Here is a 15,707-nt window from a genome sequence, read left to right on the forward strand (position 1 = left end):
AGAACGAAATCATGTCTTTTGCAGCAACATAGATGCAGCTGGAGGCCATTAGTTCCTAGGCAAATTAATGCAGGAATAGAAATCCAAAAACCACATGTTCTCACTTATAAGTGGGAGCTAAATGTTGGGTACATATGGACATAAAGATGGCAACACTAGACACTGAGGACCACTAGAATTGGGAGGGATGGAGGGATTGGAGGGATTGGGAGGGATGGAGGGATTGGGAGGGATGGAGGGATTGGGAGGGATGGAGGGATTGGGAGGGATGGAGGGATTGTGAGGGATGGAGGGATTGGGAGGGATGGAGGGATTGGGAGGGATGGAGGGATTGTGGGGGATGGAGGGATTGTGGGGGATGGAGGGATGGAGGGATTGGGGCAAGGGTTAGAAAACCACCTATAGGGAACTATGCTCAGTACCCAAGTGACAAGATCAGTCATACCCCAAACCTCAGCATCACACAATATGCCCAGGTAAAAAACTTACACATGTACCCCTGAAGCTAAAATAAATGTTGAAATTATAATCAAATCAAATAAAATGTCTTTCAAATATAAATCCCCTATTCTTCATCCTTACCACTGCAGCCCTCCACTGCCTGGCCTGCACTAAAGAGCCAGCTTCCCACTGGTCACCCTACCTTTCGTCCTGCCCACTTGAATCCAGCTTCTCCACTGCCTCCTATCATCTTTCTGAATCACAGGTGTGATTGAGTCACTCCCCAGTTCTAGAATCTATAGATGTTGTCTATAATCTATAGATAACATTTGAAATTCAATATGAGATATACAGCATTTTGCAATCTGGCATTAACCGAATTTTCTAGCTTTCTTTTTTTCTATTTTCTTTCTTTTTTTTTTTGATATGGAGTCTCACTCTGTCACCCAGGCTGGCGTGCAGTGGTGCAATCTCAGCTCACTGCAACCTCCGCCTCCCAGGTTCAAACGATTCTCCTGCCTCAGCCTCCCGAGTAGCTGGGATTACAGGCATGCGCCACCACACCCAGCTAATTTTTGTATTTTCAGTAGAGAGGGGTTTCACCATGTTGGCCAGGCTGGTCTCGAACTCCTTACCTCAGGTGATCCTCCCACCTCGGCCTCCCACATTGCTGGGATTACAGGCATGAGCCACCACACCTGGCCAATCTTGTTAAAATCTTTGAGCTATCTCCAAACTGCTTTCCACAGTGGCTGAACTAATTTACATTCCCACCAACAGTGTAGAAGTGTTCCTTTTTCTTTGCAGCCTTGCCAGTATCTGTTTGTTGTTGTTGTTGATGTTTTTACTTTTTAATAATAGCCATTCTGGGCTGGCATGGTGGCTCATGCTTGTAATCCCAGCACTTCGGGAGGCCAAGGCAGGCAGATCACGAGGTCAAGAGATCGAGACCATCCTGGCCAACATGGTGAAACCCTATCTCTACTAAAAATACAAAAATTAGCTGGGCATGGTGGCGCGCACCTATAGTCCCAGCTATTCAGGACGCTGAGGCAGGAGAATCACTTGAACAGGGAGGCGGAGGTTTCAGTGAGCCAAGATTGCACCACTGCACTCCAGCCTGGTGACAGAGCAAGACTCCGTCTCAAAAAACAAAACAAAACAATAATAATAATAGTAATAGCCATTCTGACTGGTATAGGAGGGTATTTCATTATGGTTTTGATTTGCATTTCCCTGATGATGGTGAGCATTTTTTCCATATATTTGTTGGTTGCTTGTATGTGAAAGACATTTTAGATAGAAATCCAAGCCAACTTAGATGAAAGCAAAAGTACCTCTCCTCCAACAGCTCATGTGAGGCATAGAAACGTATCATCAGAGGGCAGGTCAACCACATAGTACTGGAGTCCAGGGCAGGGATCTGACATCCATGTACTGCCAGGTAAACTTGCCTTGTTCATCATGACATTCTCATAGATATTTTTATTTTATTTTATTTTATTTATTTATTTATTATTATTATTATTGAGACTGAGTCTTGCTATGTCGCCAGGCTGGAGTGCAGTGGCACAATCTCGGCTCACTGCAATCTCCGCCTCCCGGGTTCAAGCAATTCTCCTGCCTCAGCCTCCTGAGTAGTTGGGATTACAGGCACGTACGTACCACCACGTCCAGCTAATTTTTGTATTTTTAGTAGAGATGGGGTTTCACCATGTTGGCCAGGATGGCCTCGATCTCCTGACCTCGTGATCTGCCCGCCTCGGCCTCCCAAAGTGCTGGGATTACAGGCGTGAGCCACTGTGCGTGGCCAGATTGTTGTTGTTTTTATCAGATATGCAGAGCAATGATCCAGTCATGACCAGATATTGCCTCCTGTGTTTTGCATGCTAACTAGAGTGGTCATGATGGTCTTGTGCCTAGTAAATGACCTGGAAGTTATAGAGTGGAATGGCCTATACTGGTGGCCAAGACCTCTTTCCAGGGGAGTCCGATAATAGGTTCCACTGATAGTCAATAGCAATCGAGTGTCCACTGCGCCAGAACACTCAGGAACAGTCTAAGAGTAAGGAAGACAGTAAGCTCCTTAGTCAGATGGGATGTCAGAATCCAAATACCTAGAAAAGTACCTTAAATAGCATATCAAACGATTAAATGAAAAATGAATAATGTGGTATAAAGCAAGCATAGAAAATATAGTATGCACTCTGGTTGTCTTAAGCTGGATGGAAGCCGAGTGGTCTTTGTGGAAGCACCGGATATCCCAGGGAGGTTGGTGCAGGGGTAGATTTGGGCTAAAGCAGATCCCTTTTTTTTTTTAACTTATTTTTTATTTTGGAGATAGGAGTCTTGCTGTGTTGCCCAGGCTGGTCTCGAACTCCTGGCCTCTGCCTGAGCCTCCCAAGTAGCTGGGATCACAGACTCAAGCCACCGCACCTGGCCTAAAGCGGATTCCTGACAGTCATCTTAAGGTCTGGTCCAATCCTCATATTCCAAATACCCGTGGCCAAAAAGGTGGGGGTGGGGAGAGGGGAAGAAAATCTCTCTAGAAATGTGTGAATTTGGGAGTACAGTATTTACTGTCCTATGACAGTATTCATTAAATTCCATTGTAGGCTGGGCGCGGTGGCTCACGCCTGTAATCCCAACACTTTGGGAGGCCGAGGCAGGTGGATCACCTGAGGTCAGGAGTTTGAGACCAGCCTGGCCAACATGGCGAAACCCCCACTCTGCTAAAAATACAAAAAAACGAGCCGGGCTTAGTAGCGGGCGCCTGTAGTCCCAGCCACTTGGCAGGCTGAGGCAGAAGAATGGTGTGAACCCGGGAGGCGGAGGTTGCAATGAGTCGAGATTGCACGACTGCACTCCAGCCTGGGTGACAGAGTGAGACTCCATCTCAAAAAAACCCAAAAGTAATAAATAAATAAATAAATAAATAAATAAATAAATAAATAAAATTCCATTCTATCACCCTGGCAGCCACAGCTGGCCCCTCATTAAAACTAGAAAGCCTTTCCTCCACCTCCCCCTTGGGGCAGTAGGATGGTGCCATTCTCTACCACTCTGAACAGGTTCCTGTCCTGGGGTTGCCCCCGTGGGTCCCAAGGGAGCTTCTAGGGACGCCTGCTCTGTGACGCCCTATGCAACAGCAGCTGAAGGGCGCCAGTCAGGCATGGCGGGAGCTGGGCAGGAAGGGGATTGACTCCAGGTCATCTGGGCAAACTCCCGGGAAGGGGACTGACCTGTCAATCACCCAGAGAGCTGGGGTAGGCAGGTTCCCCTCTCCCCACACATTTCAAGCAGTTCTAAGCACCTCCCCAAACTGCCAGAGCAGAGGAGAGGGAAAGTGGGGTTTTCTGGGAAACTCAGTCGGCCCAGACAAAGTGCTGCCTGATAGGGATAGAATGCAAGTCACATACGTAATGAAACCAATATTGGCAGTGACATTATAAAAAGTTAAAAGAAAGAGATGAAAATATTATCATTTCAACATATAGCTGACCAGGCGTGGAGGTGTACGCCTGAAATCCCAGCACTTTGGGAGGGCAAGGGGGCAGATCATTTGAGGCCAGGAGTTCAAGACCATCCTGGCCAACATGGAGAGACCCTGTCTCTACAAAAAATACAAAAATAAGCTGGGCATGGTGGTGTGCGCCTATAGTTCCAGCTACTTGCGAGGCTGAGGTGGGAGGAAGGCTTGAGTCGGGAAGGCAGAGGCTGCAGTGAGCTGTGATCGTGCCATTGTGTTCCATCCTTGGTGACAGAATGAGATCCTGTCTCAAAACACACACACACACACACACAGACACACACATATGTCGCCAATATAAAAAATTATTAATGAGGCATTTTACTTATTTCTTTTGTACTAATCTTCAAGATCCAGTGTGTATTCTACGCTTACATCTCAATTTCGAATAGCTAAATGTTAAGTGTTCAACAGCCGTGTGTAGACGTTGGACGACGCAGGCCTACAGGCCTGCGCCTGGTGCAGCCAAATGAAACAACCAAAAGACTTTCACTTCTGCACTGGGGATGTACCTGCATCTCTCTCCTGTAATTCCCCTCCACTCAGTAGTCATCAAATTCTAAAATCTGGCTGGGCACGGTGGCTCACGCCTGTAATCCCAGCTACTCGGGAGGATGAGGCAGGAGAATTGCTTGAACCTGGGAGGCGGAGGTTTTGGTGAGCTGAGATCGTGCCATTGCATTCCAGCCTGGGCAACAAGAGCAAAACTCTGTCTCAAAAAAAAAAAAAATCTAAAATCTTTCCTGGCCGGGTACGGTGGCTCACTCCTGTAATCCCAGCACTTTGGGAGGCCGAGGTGGGTACATCACCTGAAGTCAGGAGTTTGAGACCAGCCTAGCCAACATGGTGAAACCCTGTTGGGGTTAAAATTCTAAAAATACAAAAATACAAAATAAAAATACAAAAATTAAGGCTGGGTGCGTTGGCTCACGCCTGTAATCCCAGCACTTTGGGAGGCTGAGGCGGGCAGATCATGAGGTCAGGAGATCGAGACCATCCTGGCTAACACTGTGAAACCCCATCTCTCCTAAAAACAAATACAAAAAATTAGCTGGGCGTGGTGGCAGACACCTGTAGTCCCAGCTACTAGGGAGGCTGAGGCAGGAGAATTGCTTGAACCCGGGAGGTGGAGGTTGCAGTGTGCCAAGATCGCGCCACTGCACTCCAGCCTGGGAGACAGAGTGAGACTCGTCTCAAAAAAAAAAAAAAAATTAGTGGTGGTGGGCACCCTTAATCCCAGCTATTCAGGAGGCTGAGGCAGCAGAAGCACTTGAATTGGGGAGGTGGAGGTTGCAGTGAGCTGAGATCACACCACTGCACTCCAACTTGAGTGACAGAGTCAGAATTTGTCTCGAAAAAAAAATTTCCTAAACTGACAGATAAATGTTTCTCCATTTTCAGATTTGTGATATCAGGGCCCTCCAGTGCAGGGTTCAGCGCAGGCCCCCTTGCTCTGGTCTAAGGATGGTGTTGGAGGTGGTAACATTATTTCAACTCTGGATCAAGCCAAGCTCAAATCCAGTTCCTCAGAACATTGCCATTATGCGCATCCTCTTTTCCCCTTGAGGCAGTTTATGAAGGGTTTTCTGCCAAGTGTAAGTAAAAGAGTCTCAACTGATGTAGGGGCCTAATATTTCCTTTCAAGGATCTGGGTAATCACAGAGGCCCCCTCCTCCGGCCCCCAAATTTCTCTGCTGTTGGTGCTATGCAAACAAGTTTCTTTTGAATTATGAATGATCCTATTCGTGTTTCTAATTGTATATATATGGGGTACTTGCAAGTCTGTTCAGCCTTTTAAGCAAATGTGTATGTTACTGACATTCTGATTTCCACGGAATTCTCCATTTATTCCAAATGGACATCAAGTCCATAAAACAATTCCTCTGGAGCATCAGTAAAGAACAAAATAGCAGGAATATGAAAATTTCTGAACAGAAAAGTTGTATTCCTGTTTTTTTTTTTTTTTTTTTTTTGCTGTTGTTAATGGGATGTTTCTATGCATGAACAATGAACAGTCAGGAAAAGAAATTAAGAAAACAATTCCATTTAGGATGGCACCAAAAAGAATAAAATAGGAATTGGCCGGGCGTGGTGGCTCACACCTGTAATCCCAGCACTTTGGGATGCCAAGGCAGGCAGATCACCTGAGGTCAGGAGTTCGAGACCAGTGTGACCAACATGGTGAAACCCCTTCTATATAAAAATTAGCCAGGCGTGGTGGCACATGCCTGTAATCCAAGCTACTAGGGAGGCTGAGGCAGGTGAATTGCTTGAACCCAGGAGGCAGAGGTTGCAGTGAGCCGAGATCGCCCCACTGCACTCCAGCCTGGGCAACAAGAGCAAAACTCCTTCTAAAAATAAATAAATAAATACTTAGGAATTTACCTAACCAAGGAGGTGAATGACTTGTACACTAAAAAGTATAAAACACTGTTGAAGGAAATCAAAGAAGACACAAATAAATAGAAAGACATTCTGCGTTCATGAATTGGAAGATTTAATATTGTTAAGATGTCAATACTACACAAAGCCATTTGCAGATTTAATACAATCCCTATCAAAATATCAATGGTGTTTGTGGCAGAAATAGAAAAATAGATCCTAAAATTCATATGGAATCTCAAGAGACCCCAAAGAGCCAAAACAATTTTGAAAAAGAACAAATTTGTAAGACGAAAGCATCCTGATTTCAAAATACATTACGAATCTACAGTAATTCAAACAGTGTGCTATTGGTATAGAGAGAAACATATGGACCAATGGAGTAGCACAGAGAGCCCAGAGATAAATTCTTGCATAGCCAAATATTCTTCAACAAGGGGGCCAAGACCACTTGATGAGGAAAGGACAGTTTGTTCAACAAATGGTGCTAGAAAAACTGGATGTCCACATGTAAAAGAATGAAGTTAGACCCTTATTTTATACCACATTACATTAGTTAAAAATTAACCTCAAACTCTAAAATACCTTCAAGAAAACATAGGATAAAAACGTTATGGCATTGAATTTCCCATATACAATAATTTCTCATATACAACACCAAAAGTACAGTTAAAAAAAATATGGATGTGAGGGTGATCTGGCTGTGGCACCTGTCACCCCATTGATTGCCAGGGTTGATTTGGCTGACCTGGCTGACTAGGCACGTGTCCCCTTCCTCCCTCGCCTCCCGAAGCTGTGCGCTTGGTTTAAGAGGACAACCATCCCAGATAGAGGAGGACTGGTCTCCGGTCAAGGGTATAAGAGTAGCTGCACTCCCCGGCTAGAACCTTCAAACAAGCTCTCAAGGTCCATTTGTAGGAGAATGTAGGGTAGTTAAGCTTCCAAGACTCCAGACACATCCAAATGAGGTGCTGCATGTGGCACTCTGCCTTTCTTAAAAAAGGAAGAAAGAAAGAAAAAGAAAGAAAAAGAAAGAAAGAAAGAAAGAAAGAAAGAAAGAAAGAAAGAAAGAAAGACAAATGAGACTACCTCAAACTTAAAAACTTGTGTGCATCGAAAGACACAATCAACAGAGTAAAAAGGCAACCTACAAAATGGAAGAAAACGTTTGTAAATCATATATTTGGTAAGAGGTTAACATCCAAAATATTCACAATTATTTAATATATAAGTAATTTCTACAACTCAACAACAAAATATCAAATAATCCTATTTAAAAATGGGCAAAAACCTAGGCACAGTGGTGCACGCCTGTAGTCAAAAGCTACTCAAGAGGTTGAATTGGGAGGATCACTTAAGTCCAGGAATTCAAGGTGAGCCTGAGGAATATTGCAAGACCCTGTCTCTGTAAAAAAAAAGATAAATAAAATAAAAATAATAAAAAGTTTAATGAAAAAAAGAAAAAAAACTATAAAAAATGGGCAAGGGAGTTATATAGACATTTTTCCAAAGATGACATACACGTGGCCAACAGGTACATGAAAAGATACCCAACATCACTGATCATTAGAAAAATACAAATCAAAACCTCAATGAGATACCACCTAACACCCATTAGGATAGCTACTATTCCCCCCAATCCCCCACCCAAAAAAACCCCAGAAGATGGCAAATGTTGGTGGGGATGTGGAGGCATTGGAAACCCTGTGAATGGCTGGCGGGATAGCAAAATGGTGTGATTACCATGAAAAACAGCATGATGGTTTCTCACAAATTTAAAAATACCGTTACCATATGACCCAGCAACCTCACTTCTGAGTACATATCCAAAAGAAATAAAAGAAGGCTCTCGAAGAGATATTTGCAAACCAATGTTCATGACAGCATTATCCACAATAGCCAAGAGGTGGAAGCAACCCAAATATCCATCAATGAATGAATAGATAAACAAAATTTGGTATATATACATGATGGAATACTATGCAGCCTCAAAAAGGAAGAAAATCCTGTCACAAGCTATAACATAGATGAACCTTGAGGACAAATACTGTAGATTCCACCTACATGAGGTTTCTGGAGGAGTCAAACTCATAGAAACAGAAAGTGGAAGGAATGATGGTTACCTGGAGCTATGGGGAAGGGAAAAGGAGAGCTGTTGGTTAATGGGTATTGAGTTTCAGTTCTGCAAGGTGAAAGAGTTCTGGAGGTCTGTTTCACAACAAGAGTGAAACTCCGTCTCAAAAAAAAAAACATGGTTAAGATTTTAAAAATAGTCCAGTGAAACATACAATGATCCTTTCTGTTATCCATCACCCAGCTCCCAAAATCAACAGTTCAAGGTCACGATCTGAGATTACTTTAGGCAAAATCTGTGTAGAGGTAGGGATAGACTGATGACTTTTTTCATTCATTATCCTTCTGCTGGTAACTTAACCTCGAATCCTAATCTTTTTGTAACCTAATTTCTTTGTTCTTCTTTTTTGTTTCTTTTTAGACAGAGTCTTGCTCTGTCACCCAGGTTGGAGTGCAGTGGCCTGATCTCGGCTCACTGCAACCTCTGCCTCCTGGGTTCAAGAGATTCTCATGCCTCAGCCTCCTGAGTAGCTGGGATTACAGGTGCCCACCACCACGCCCGGCTAATTTTTTTGTATTTTTAGTAGAGACGGGGTTTCACCCTGTTGGCCAGGCTGGTCATGAACTCTTGACCTTGTGGTCACCTGCCTTGGCCTCCCAATGCATTGGGATTACAGGCATGAGCCACCACGCCTGGCCACAACTCACCCGGCTAATTTTTGTATTTTTATTTTATTTTATTTTATTTTTTGAGACAGAGTCTTGCTCTGTCACCCAGGCTGGAGTGCAGTGGCATGATCTCAGCTCACTGCAACCTCCACCTCCCAGGTTCAGGAGATTCTCATGCCTCAGCCTCCTGAGTAGCTGGTATTACAGGTGCCCGCCACCACGCTTGGCCAATTTTGGTATTTTTAGTAGAGACCGGGTCTCACCATGCTGGCCAGGCTGGTCTCAAACTCCTGACCTCAGGTGATCCACCTGCCTTGGCCTCCCGAAGTGCTGGGATTACAGGATTACAGGCCTGGCCCCTTTTTGTAACCTAATTTGTGAAGTGACATCATACTCAAGGGAAGGGAGTTACATAAGGGTGGGAATCTCAGCAGGAGAAGATCACTGAGGGCCACCCCAGAGGTTGCCCACCACACTATGGGACTATTATTTGAAAGCTGTAGCTTTAGCACTTACGCTTAGCATGTTTTTACCATAACTTTTATTAGGTGCTTTGAATAACCATTTCATGAGGTATTGGTCTTTCCATTTTACAGCTGACTGTATTATGTAATGTGTTCAAGTTCACAGAACAATAATCATAATTAGAACTCATACATCTCAGACTACTGTTTTTTATTTTGCAGGGTATATTTTTATTACTATTACATGAAAATCATATTATTTAACATCAAAGTGTTCTATGGCACTATATCAATAATGGGTTTTGGAGAAATTTTCTTTTTGGATTGTTACTTGTAAACGTACTCTTCTTTGTATGTCACAATTGGTATGTTTGAATCAGAATGTACATATTACATTTGGGTGTTACAATATCTCAAGTTTCTTTTGATTTTGAGTCCTCTTCTTCCAACGCATCTAAAATTTTTTTTATTTTTAATTTTTGTGGGTACATATTAGGTATATACATTCATGGTGCCCTACTTATTTAAAACATGTCATTGACTTATAGAAGATACTTGTTTAATTGATGTATAAAATATCTCACATCCTGGATTTGCTTGTTTGCTCCCTCCTGGTGTCATTTAACTTTACATTCCCCAGCATTTTCTGTAAATGAAAGCTTTGGAAGCTTGAGTAGATTCAGGTTCAATTTCTTTGGCAAGAATAGTTCGTAGGTCATATAGACATTAGTACAGAACTCCCTACAAAATGCAAGCAATGTTGGATTATTCCAGGAAGCATTTGGAATCTCTCTCAAAAACTCACAATAATAGGGAATAAAAATAGCCCTAGTGTCCAGCCACTAGCTTCAACTTTTCTCTCCTCCTTGCTAATGTTAGCCAGCATTGATTACCTATTTTTGTCATTGTCCAAGCAGATATCATAAGCCAAGAACCTCGCTGAATATACAATGTGCACTGAAGAACAAGTAGATATATATCTTTCTTGTTTTTTATCACAAGCGACAGAAACAAACTGTGCCTAACATTAAAAGTACTGTATTAAAAGGTTGTAAGATGGATTTATGCTTTCACCACCCGTATTCAACATAGTACTGGAAATCCTAGCAAGAGAAATCAGGCAAGAGAAAGGAATAAAAGGCATCCAAATGGGAAAAGAAGGAGTCAAATTGTCCCTCTTTGCAGATGACATGCTTATATTTAGAAAAATCTCTATGGTGTCAGACTCCTTATACAAAGAAAAAAAAAATAGAAAAACCTAGACTCTACCACAAAACTCTTAGAACTAATAGACAAATTAAGTAAAGTATCAGGATGCAAAATCAACATACAAAAATCAGTAGTGTTTCTATATACCAATGAAGAACTGGCTGAAATATAAATCAAGAAGGCAATCCCACGTACAATAACTATGCACACACAAAAACTCTGCACACAAATTTAACCAAGAAGGTGAAAGCTCTCTACAGGGAAAACTACAAAGCACTGATGAAAGAAATTGTCGAGGACACAAACAAAAGGAAAGACACCCTATGCTCACGGATTGGAAGAATTAGAATTGTTAAAATGGCCATACTACCCAAAGCAATCTACAGATTAATGAATCTACCAAAATACCAGTGACATTCTTCATAGAAAGAAAAACAACCCTAAAATTCACATGAAACCAAAAAGGAGCCTGAATAGCCAAAGCAATCTTGAGCAAAAAGAACAAAGCTGGAGGCATTTTTCCATCTGACTTCTGAACATATTACAAGGCTACAATAACCCAAACAGCACTGTACTGGTATAAAAATAGACACATAGACCAGTGGAACAGAATAGAGAACCCAGAAATAAATCCACATATTTATAGCCAACTGATTTATGACAAAGGTGCCAATAACATACACTGAGGAAAGGACACCCTCTTCAATAAATGGTGCTGGGAAAACTGGACTGTCATAGGCGAAAGAATGAAAGTAGACCTCTGTCTCTCACCATATACAACAATCAACTCAAGATGGATTAAAGACTTAAATGTAAGGCCCCAAACTGTAGAACTACTAGAAGGAAACACTCCAGGACATTGGTCTAGGCAAATATTTTATGGCTAAGACCTCAAAAACAGAGGCAACTAAAACAAATAGACAAATGGGACTATATTAAATTAAAAGGCTTCTGCACAGCACAGAAAATCAACAGAATGAAGAGATAACCTGTTGAATGGGAGAAAATATTTACAAACTATTCATCTGACAAGAGAATAATATGCAGAATATACAAGAAACTCAACTCAGCAGTGAAAAATCTGGCCGGGTGCGGTGGTGCACACCTGTAATCCCAGCATTTTGGGAGGCCAAGGCGGGCGGATCACCTGAGGTTAAGAGTTTGAGACCAGCCTGGCCAACATGGTGAAACCCCATTTCTACTAAAAATACAAAAATTAGCCTGGCATGGTGGCATGCACCCGTAATCCCAGCCACTCAGGAGGTTGAGGCACAAGAATCGCTTGAACTCAGGAGTCAGAGGTTGCAGCGAGCTGAGATCGTGCCACTGCACTCCAGCCTGGGTGACAGAGCGAGACTTTGTTTCAAAATAAAATAAAATAAAATAAAATAAAATAAAATAAAATAAAGCTATGATCAGCACAACACAAATATCCTTATTCATTCATTAATTTGTTCAATAGTTATTTATAAGTTCTACCATATTTTACTCACTGCTCTGGTCTCAAGCATTAATAAGACGTTGATTAGAACAGGGCCAAGGACAGAGCCCTATTGTACCTACTCCCAGAAATACGTTGGCTGTGAATCAGCTCTTTAGAGAACAGGGTTATTTTATCTGTTATCACTTCACCTAACCTATTTCCTCTAGCATCCCTAACTCCATTTTGTTTAGGAACATGTCTTCAGGCTTTTGGCACGTGCCTTAATGAAGTGAGATCCACACTGTCAAGCATCCCACCTTTTTCCAGACTAGTAGATTCTGTGTTTCTAACAACACTGTGGACCAGGATGTGGGTGTGAACTAGGTGTACACCTCAGCTTTGCACTTCTTGCTGTGAACCTGTGGCAAGTCACTTCAATTCTCAGAGCCTCAGGTTCCTCATCTCCAAAGAGGGCAACAAACCCAATCTTGCAAGGCTGTTATGAGAATTAGACATAATATACGTAAAATGTCCAGTACATACTACTTGTTTTTCCCCCTTATTTCAGGTCAGTTTCTGGGAGCACAGATCATACGTACTACTTTTTGAACTTGCATATAAAAAAAATTAGAAAAGCAGCACTGAATTCCAGTTAGGGGAAATTAGATTTTTTTCAATTCCTATATAAATTCATGAGAAGTTTTAATTCAAGAATTTACAAATCAGAGAAATAGTATATACAAAAATGATTATCAAATATTAAGACTATTATCTTGAATTTCAATGAGTTTTGTATTTATTTAAAATATACAATATATGGTCATTGTAGTTATATATAATGTTAGCTTACTATCATTATTGTATTAATATGCAATAAAAGACTTTCCCAAGGCTCAGTGAAAACTAAGCACATTTTATTTTCTCTGTGTTTCATATGTAAAATAAACACCTTGTACAGGATTCTGGAAAGATGCTATGCTATGCCATTTTTTTTTTTTTGTTATTCTAAAAGGAAGGTAACCAGACACTGCTCGAAGAACTTAAATATTTGCATCTGGTTTTTAAAAAGTAGAGAGAAACAAAAAGCTGACAACTATATCTAGAGAGGGATATCAGTTCGGGGGAAAGAAGGGAGGCAGGCTGCTTTTTCACTATATAGCTGTTGTAACTTTTGAATTTTGTACCTTGTGCATATATTATTATTATTTTATTTATTATTTATTTATTTATTTATTTTTTTTTTTGAGATGGAGTCTCGCTCTGTCACCCAGGCTGGAGTGCAGTGGTGCGATCTCAGCCCACTGCAACTCTGCCTCTCGGGTTCAAGTGATTCTCCTGCCTCAGCCTCCCGAGTAGCTGGGATTACAGGCGCCCGCCACCATGCTCAACTAATTTTTGTATTTTTAGTAGAGACGGGGTTTCACCGTATTGGCCAGGCTGGTCTCGAATTTCTGACCTTGTGATCCGCCCGCCTCAGCCTCCCAAAGTGCTGGGATTACAGGCGTGAGCCACTGATTGAAAAAATAGTTAATCTTTTTAAATAGTGGCAAAATAATTTTAAATAACACTATCCTTTTCACTGAGTTTACTTCTATAAAATCTGAAAGCCTTAAATACAAAGAAGGCAAACTAAATTCCCTGAAAAGTCCCATTCAAGTCTGATAATATATGGATTAAATCAGTTAAATGAACCACATTAAAATAGATTGACTTTATAACAATTTCTAATCTCTGCCTGCTGGACATTCAAATGAAAACTAAACTGTTTCTACAAAGATGCCCAATTCATTGCAAATATTTTACCAAGAACACCAAAATTTTAAACACGGACACTTTTTAGATACAATGAACAGGATAGTAAGCTATATTGATTGATTGATTGATTGACTGACTTTGAGACAGAGTCTTGCTCTGTTGCACAGACTGGAGTGCAGTGGCACAGCCTCGGCTCACTGCTACCTCCGCCTCCTGAGTTTAAGCGATTCTCCTACCTCTGCCTCCTGAATAGCTGGGATTACAGATGCCCGCTACCACACCCAGCTAATTTTTATATTTTTAGTAGAGATGGGGTTTCACCATGTTGGCCAGGGTGGTCTCAAACTCCTGACCTCAGGTGACCTGCCTGCCTTGGCCTCCCAAAGTGCTGAGATTACAGGCATGAGCCACCATGCCTGGCTAGTAAGCTAGATTTAGACATTAAAATTCAAAATCTATTTTTTTAGAATAGTTTGGGCAACTGTATAAGATTTGTGATTGTATATTTGATTGTTGCTGATAAAATTGTATATGAACAATCAACAATTTACATAAACCCTGACTGCCTATTTAAGGCAAATAAAACAAGAGTTTTCTAAACAGGATTGTGCACAAGAGAGAGATATTAAAAATTTTGGCCGGGCACAGTGGCTCATGCCTATAATGCCAACACTTTGGGAGGCTGAGGTGGGAGGATCACTTGAGGCCAGCAGTTTGAGACCAACCTGGGCAACACAGGGAGACCCTGTCTCTACTAAAAATACAAAAATTAGCCAGACGTGGTGGCACACACCTGTAGTCCTAGTTACTCAGGAGGCTGAGGCAAGAGGATCGCTTGAGCCCAGGAGTTTGATGTTGCAGTGAGCTATAATTGTGCCACTGCACTCCAGCTTGAGAGACAGAGTGAGACCTTGTCTAAAAAGAAAAAAAAGCGACCCTCCCATCTCAGCCCCCTAAGTAGCTGGGACTGCAGGCGTGTGCCACTCACTACATCCGGCTAATTTTTTGCATGTTTAGTAGAGACGGGTTTCGCCACGTTGCCCAGGCTGGTCTTGAACTCCGGCTCAAACAATCTGCCTGCCTCAGCCTCCAAAATTGTTGGGATTATAGGCCTGAGCCATTGCACGCCAGCCAGGAGACATAGATTATCAGTAGACACTCAATGGATGATGGCTCAGAATTTCTTTTCACTTTGTTTAGTTAACCAGAAGAAAATGATTTATTTCTTGCCATAGTCATATAAAACAATTTGCTTTTAAACTACTATGAAAGGCCTGGCGTGGTGACTCAGGCCTGTAATCCCAGCACATTGACAGGCTGAGGTGGGTGGATCGCTTGAGTCCAGGGGTTTGAGACCAGCCTGGACAACATAGTGAGTCCTCATCCTACAAAAAATAAACATAAAGTTAGCTGGGTGTGGTGGAATGAGCCTGTAGTCCCAGTTACTTGGGAGGCTGAGGTGGGAAGGTCACTTGAGCGTGGGAGGTAGAGGCTGCAGTGAGCCATGATCATGCCACTGCACTCCAGCCTGGGTGACAGTGTGAGACCTCGCCTTAAAAAGGAAAGAAGAAAGAAAGAAAAAAGAAAGAGAGAAAGAAGGAGAGAAAAAGAAAGAAAGAAAGAGAAAGAAAGAAAGAAAGAAAAAGAAAGAAAAAGAAAGAAAGAAAGAAAGAAGAAAGAAAGAAAGGAGGGAGGGAGGGAGGGAGAGAGGAAGGGAGGAAGGAAGGAAGGAAGGAAAAGAAAGAGAAAGAGAAAAGAAAAC

General features: G+C 42.1%; 1 pseudogene, besides 2 other annotated features; it reads left to right on the forward strand.

The window, feature by feature from the left end:
* Positions 4,154–4,293: an enhancer, noted in NCBI's record as "active region_2848". NCBI's record gives its function as "activates an Ori minimal core promoter by ATAC-STARR-seq in GM12878 lymphoblastoid cells {active_cell/tissue: GM12878}" and the evidence as "EXISTENCE:reporter gene assay evidence [ECO:0000049][PMID:35858748]".
* Positions 4,534–4,613: a silencer, noted in NCBI's record as "silent region_2023". NCBI's record gives its function as "represses an Ori minimal core promoter by ATAC-STARR-seq in GM12878 lymphoblastoid cells {active_cell/tissue: GM12878}" and the evidence as "EXISTENCE:reporter gene assay evidence [ECO:0000049][PMID:35858748]".
* On the forward strand, positions 7,035–7,348 carry RN7SKP55 (RN7SK pseudogene 55; annotated as a pseudogene).

This window comes from Homo sapiens, chromosome 1 (assembly GCF_000001405.40).
Source record: "Homo sapiens chromosome 1, GRCh38.p14 Primary Assembly".
NCBI classification, from domain to species: domain Eukaryota; kingdom Metazoa; phylum Chordata; class Mammalia; order Primates; family Hominidae; genus Homo; species Homo sapiens.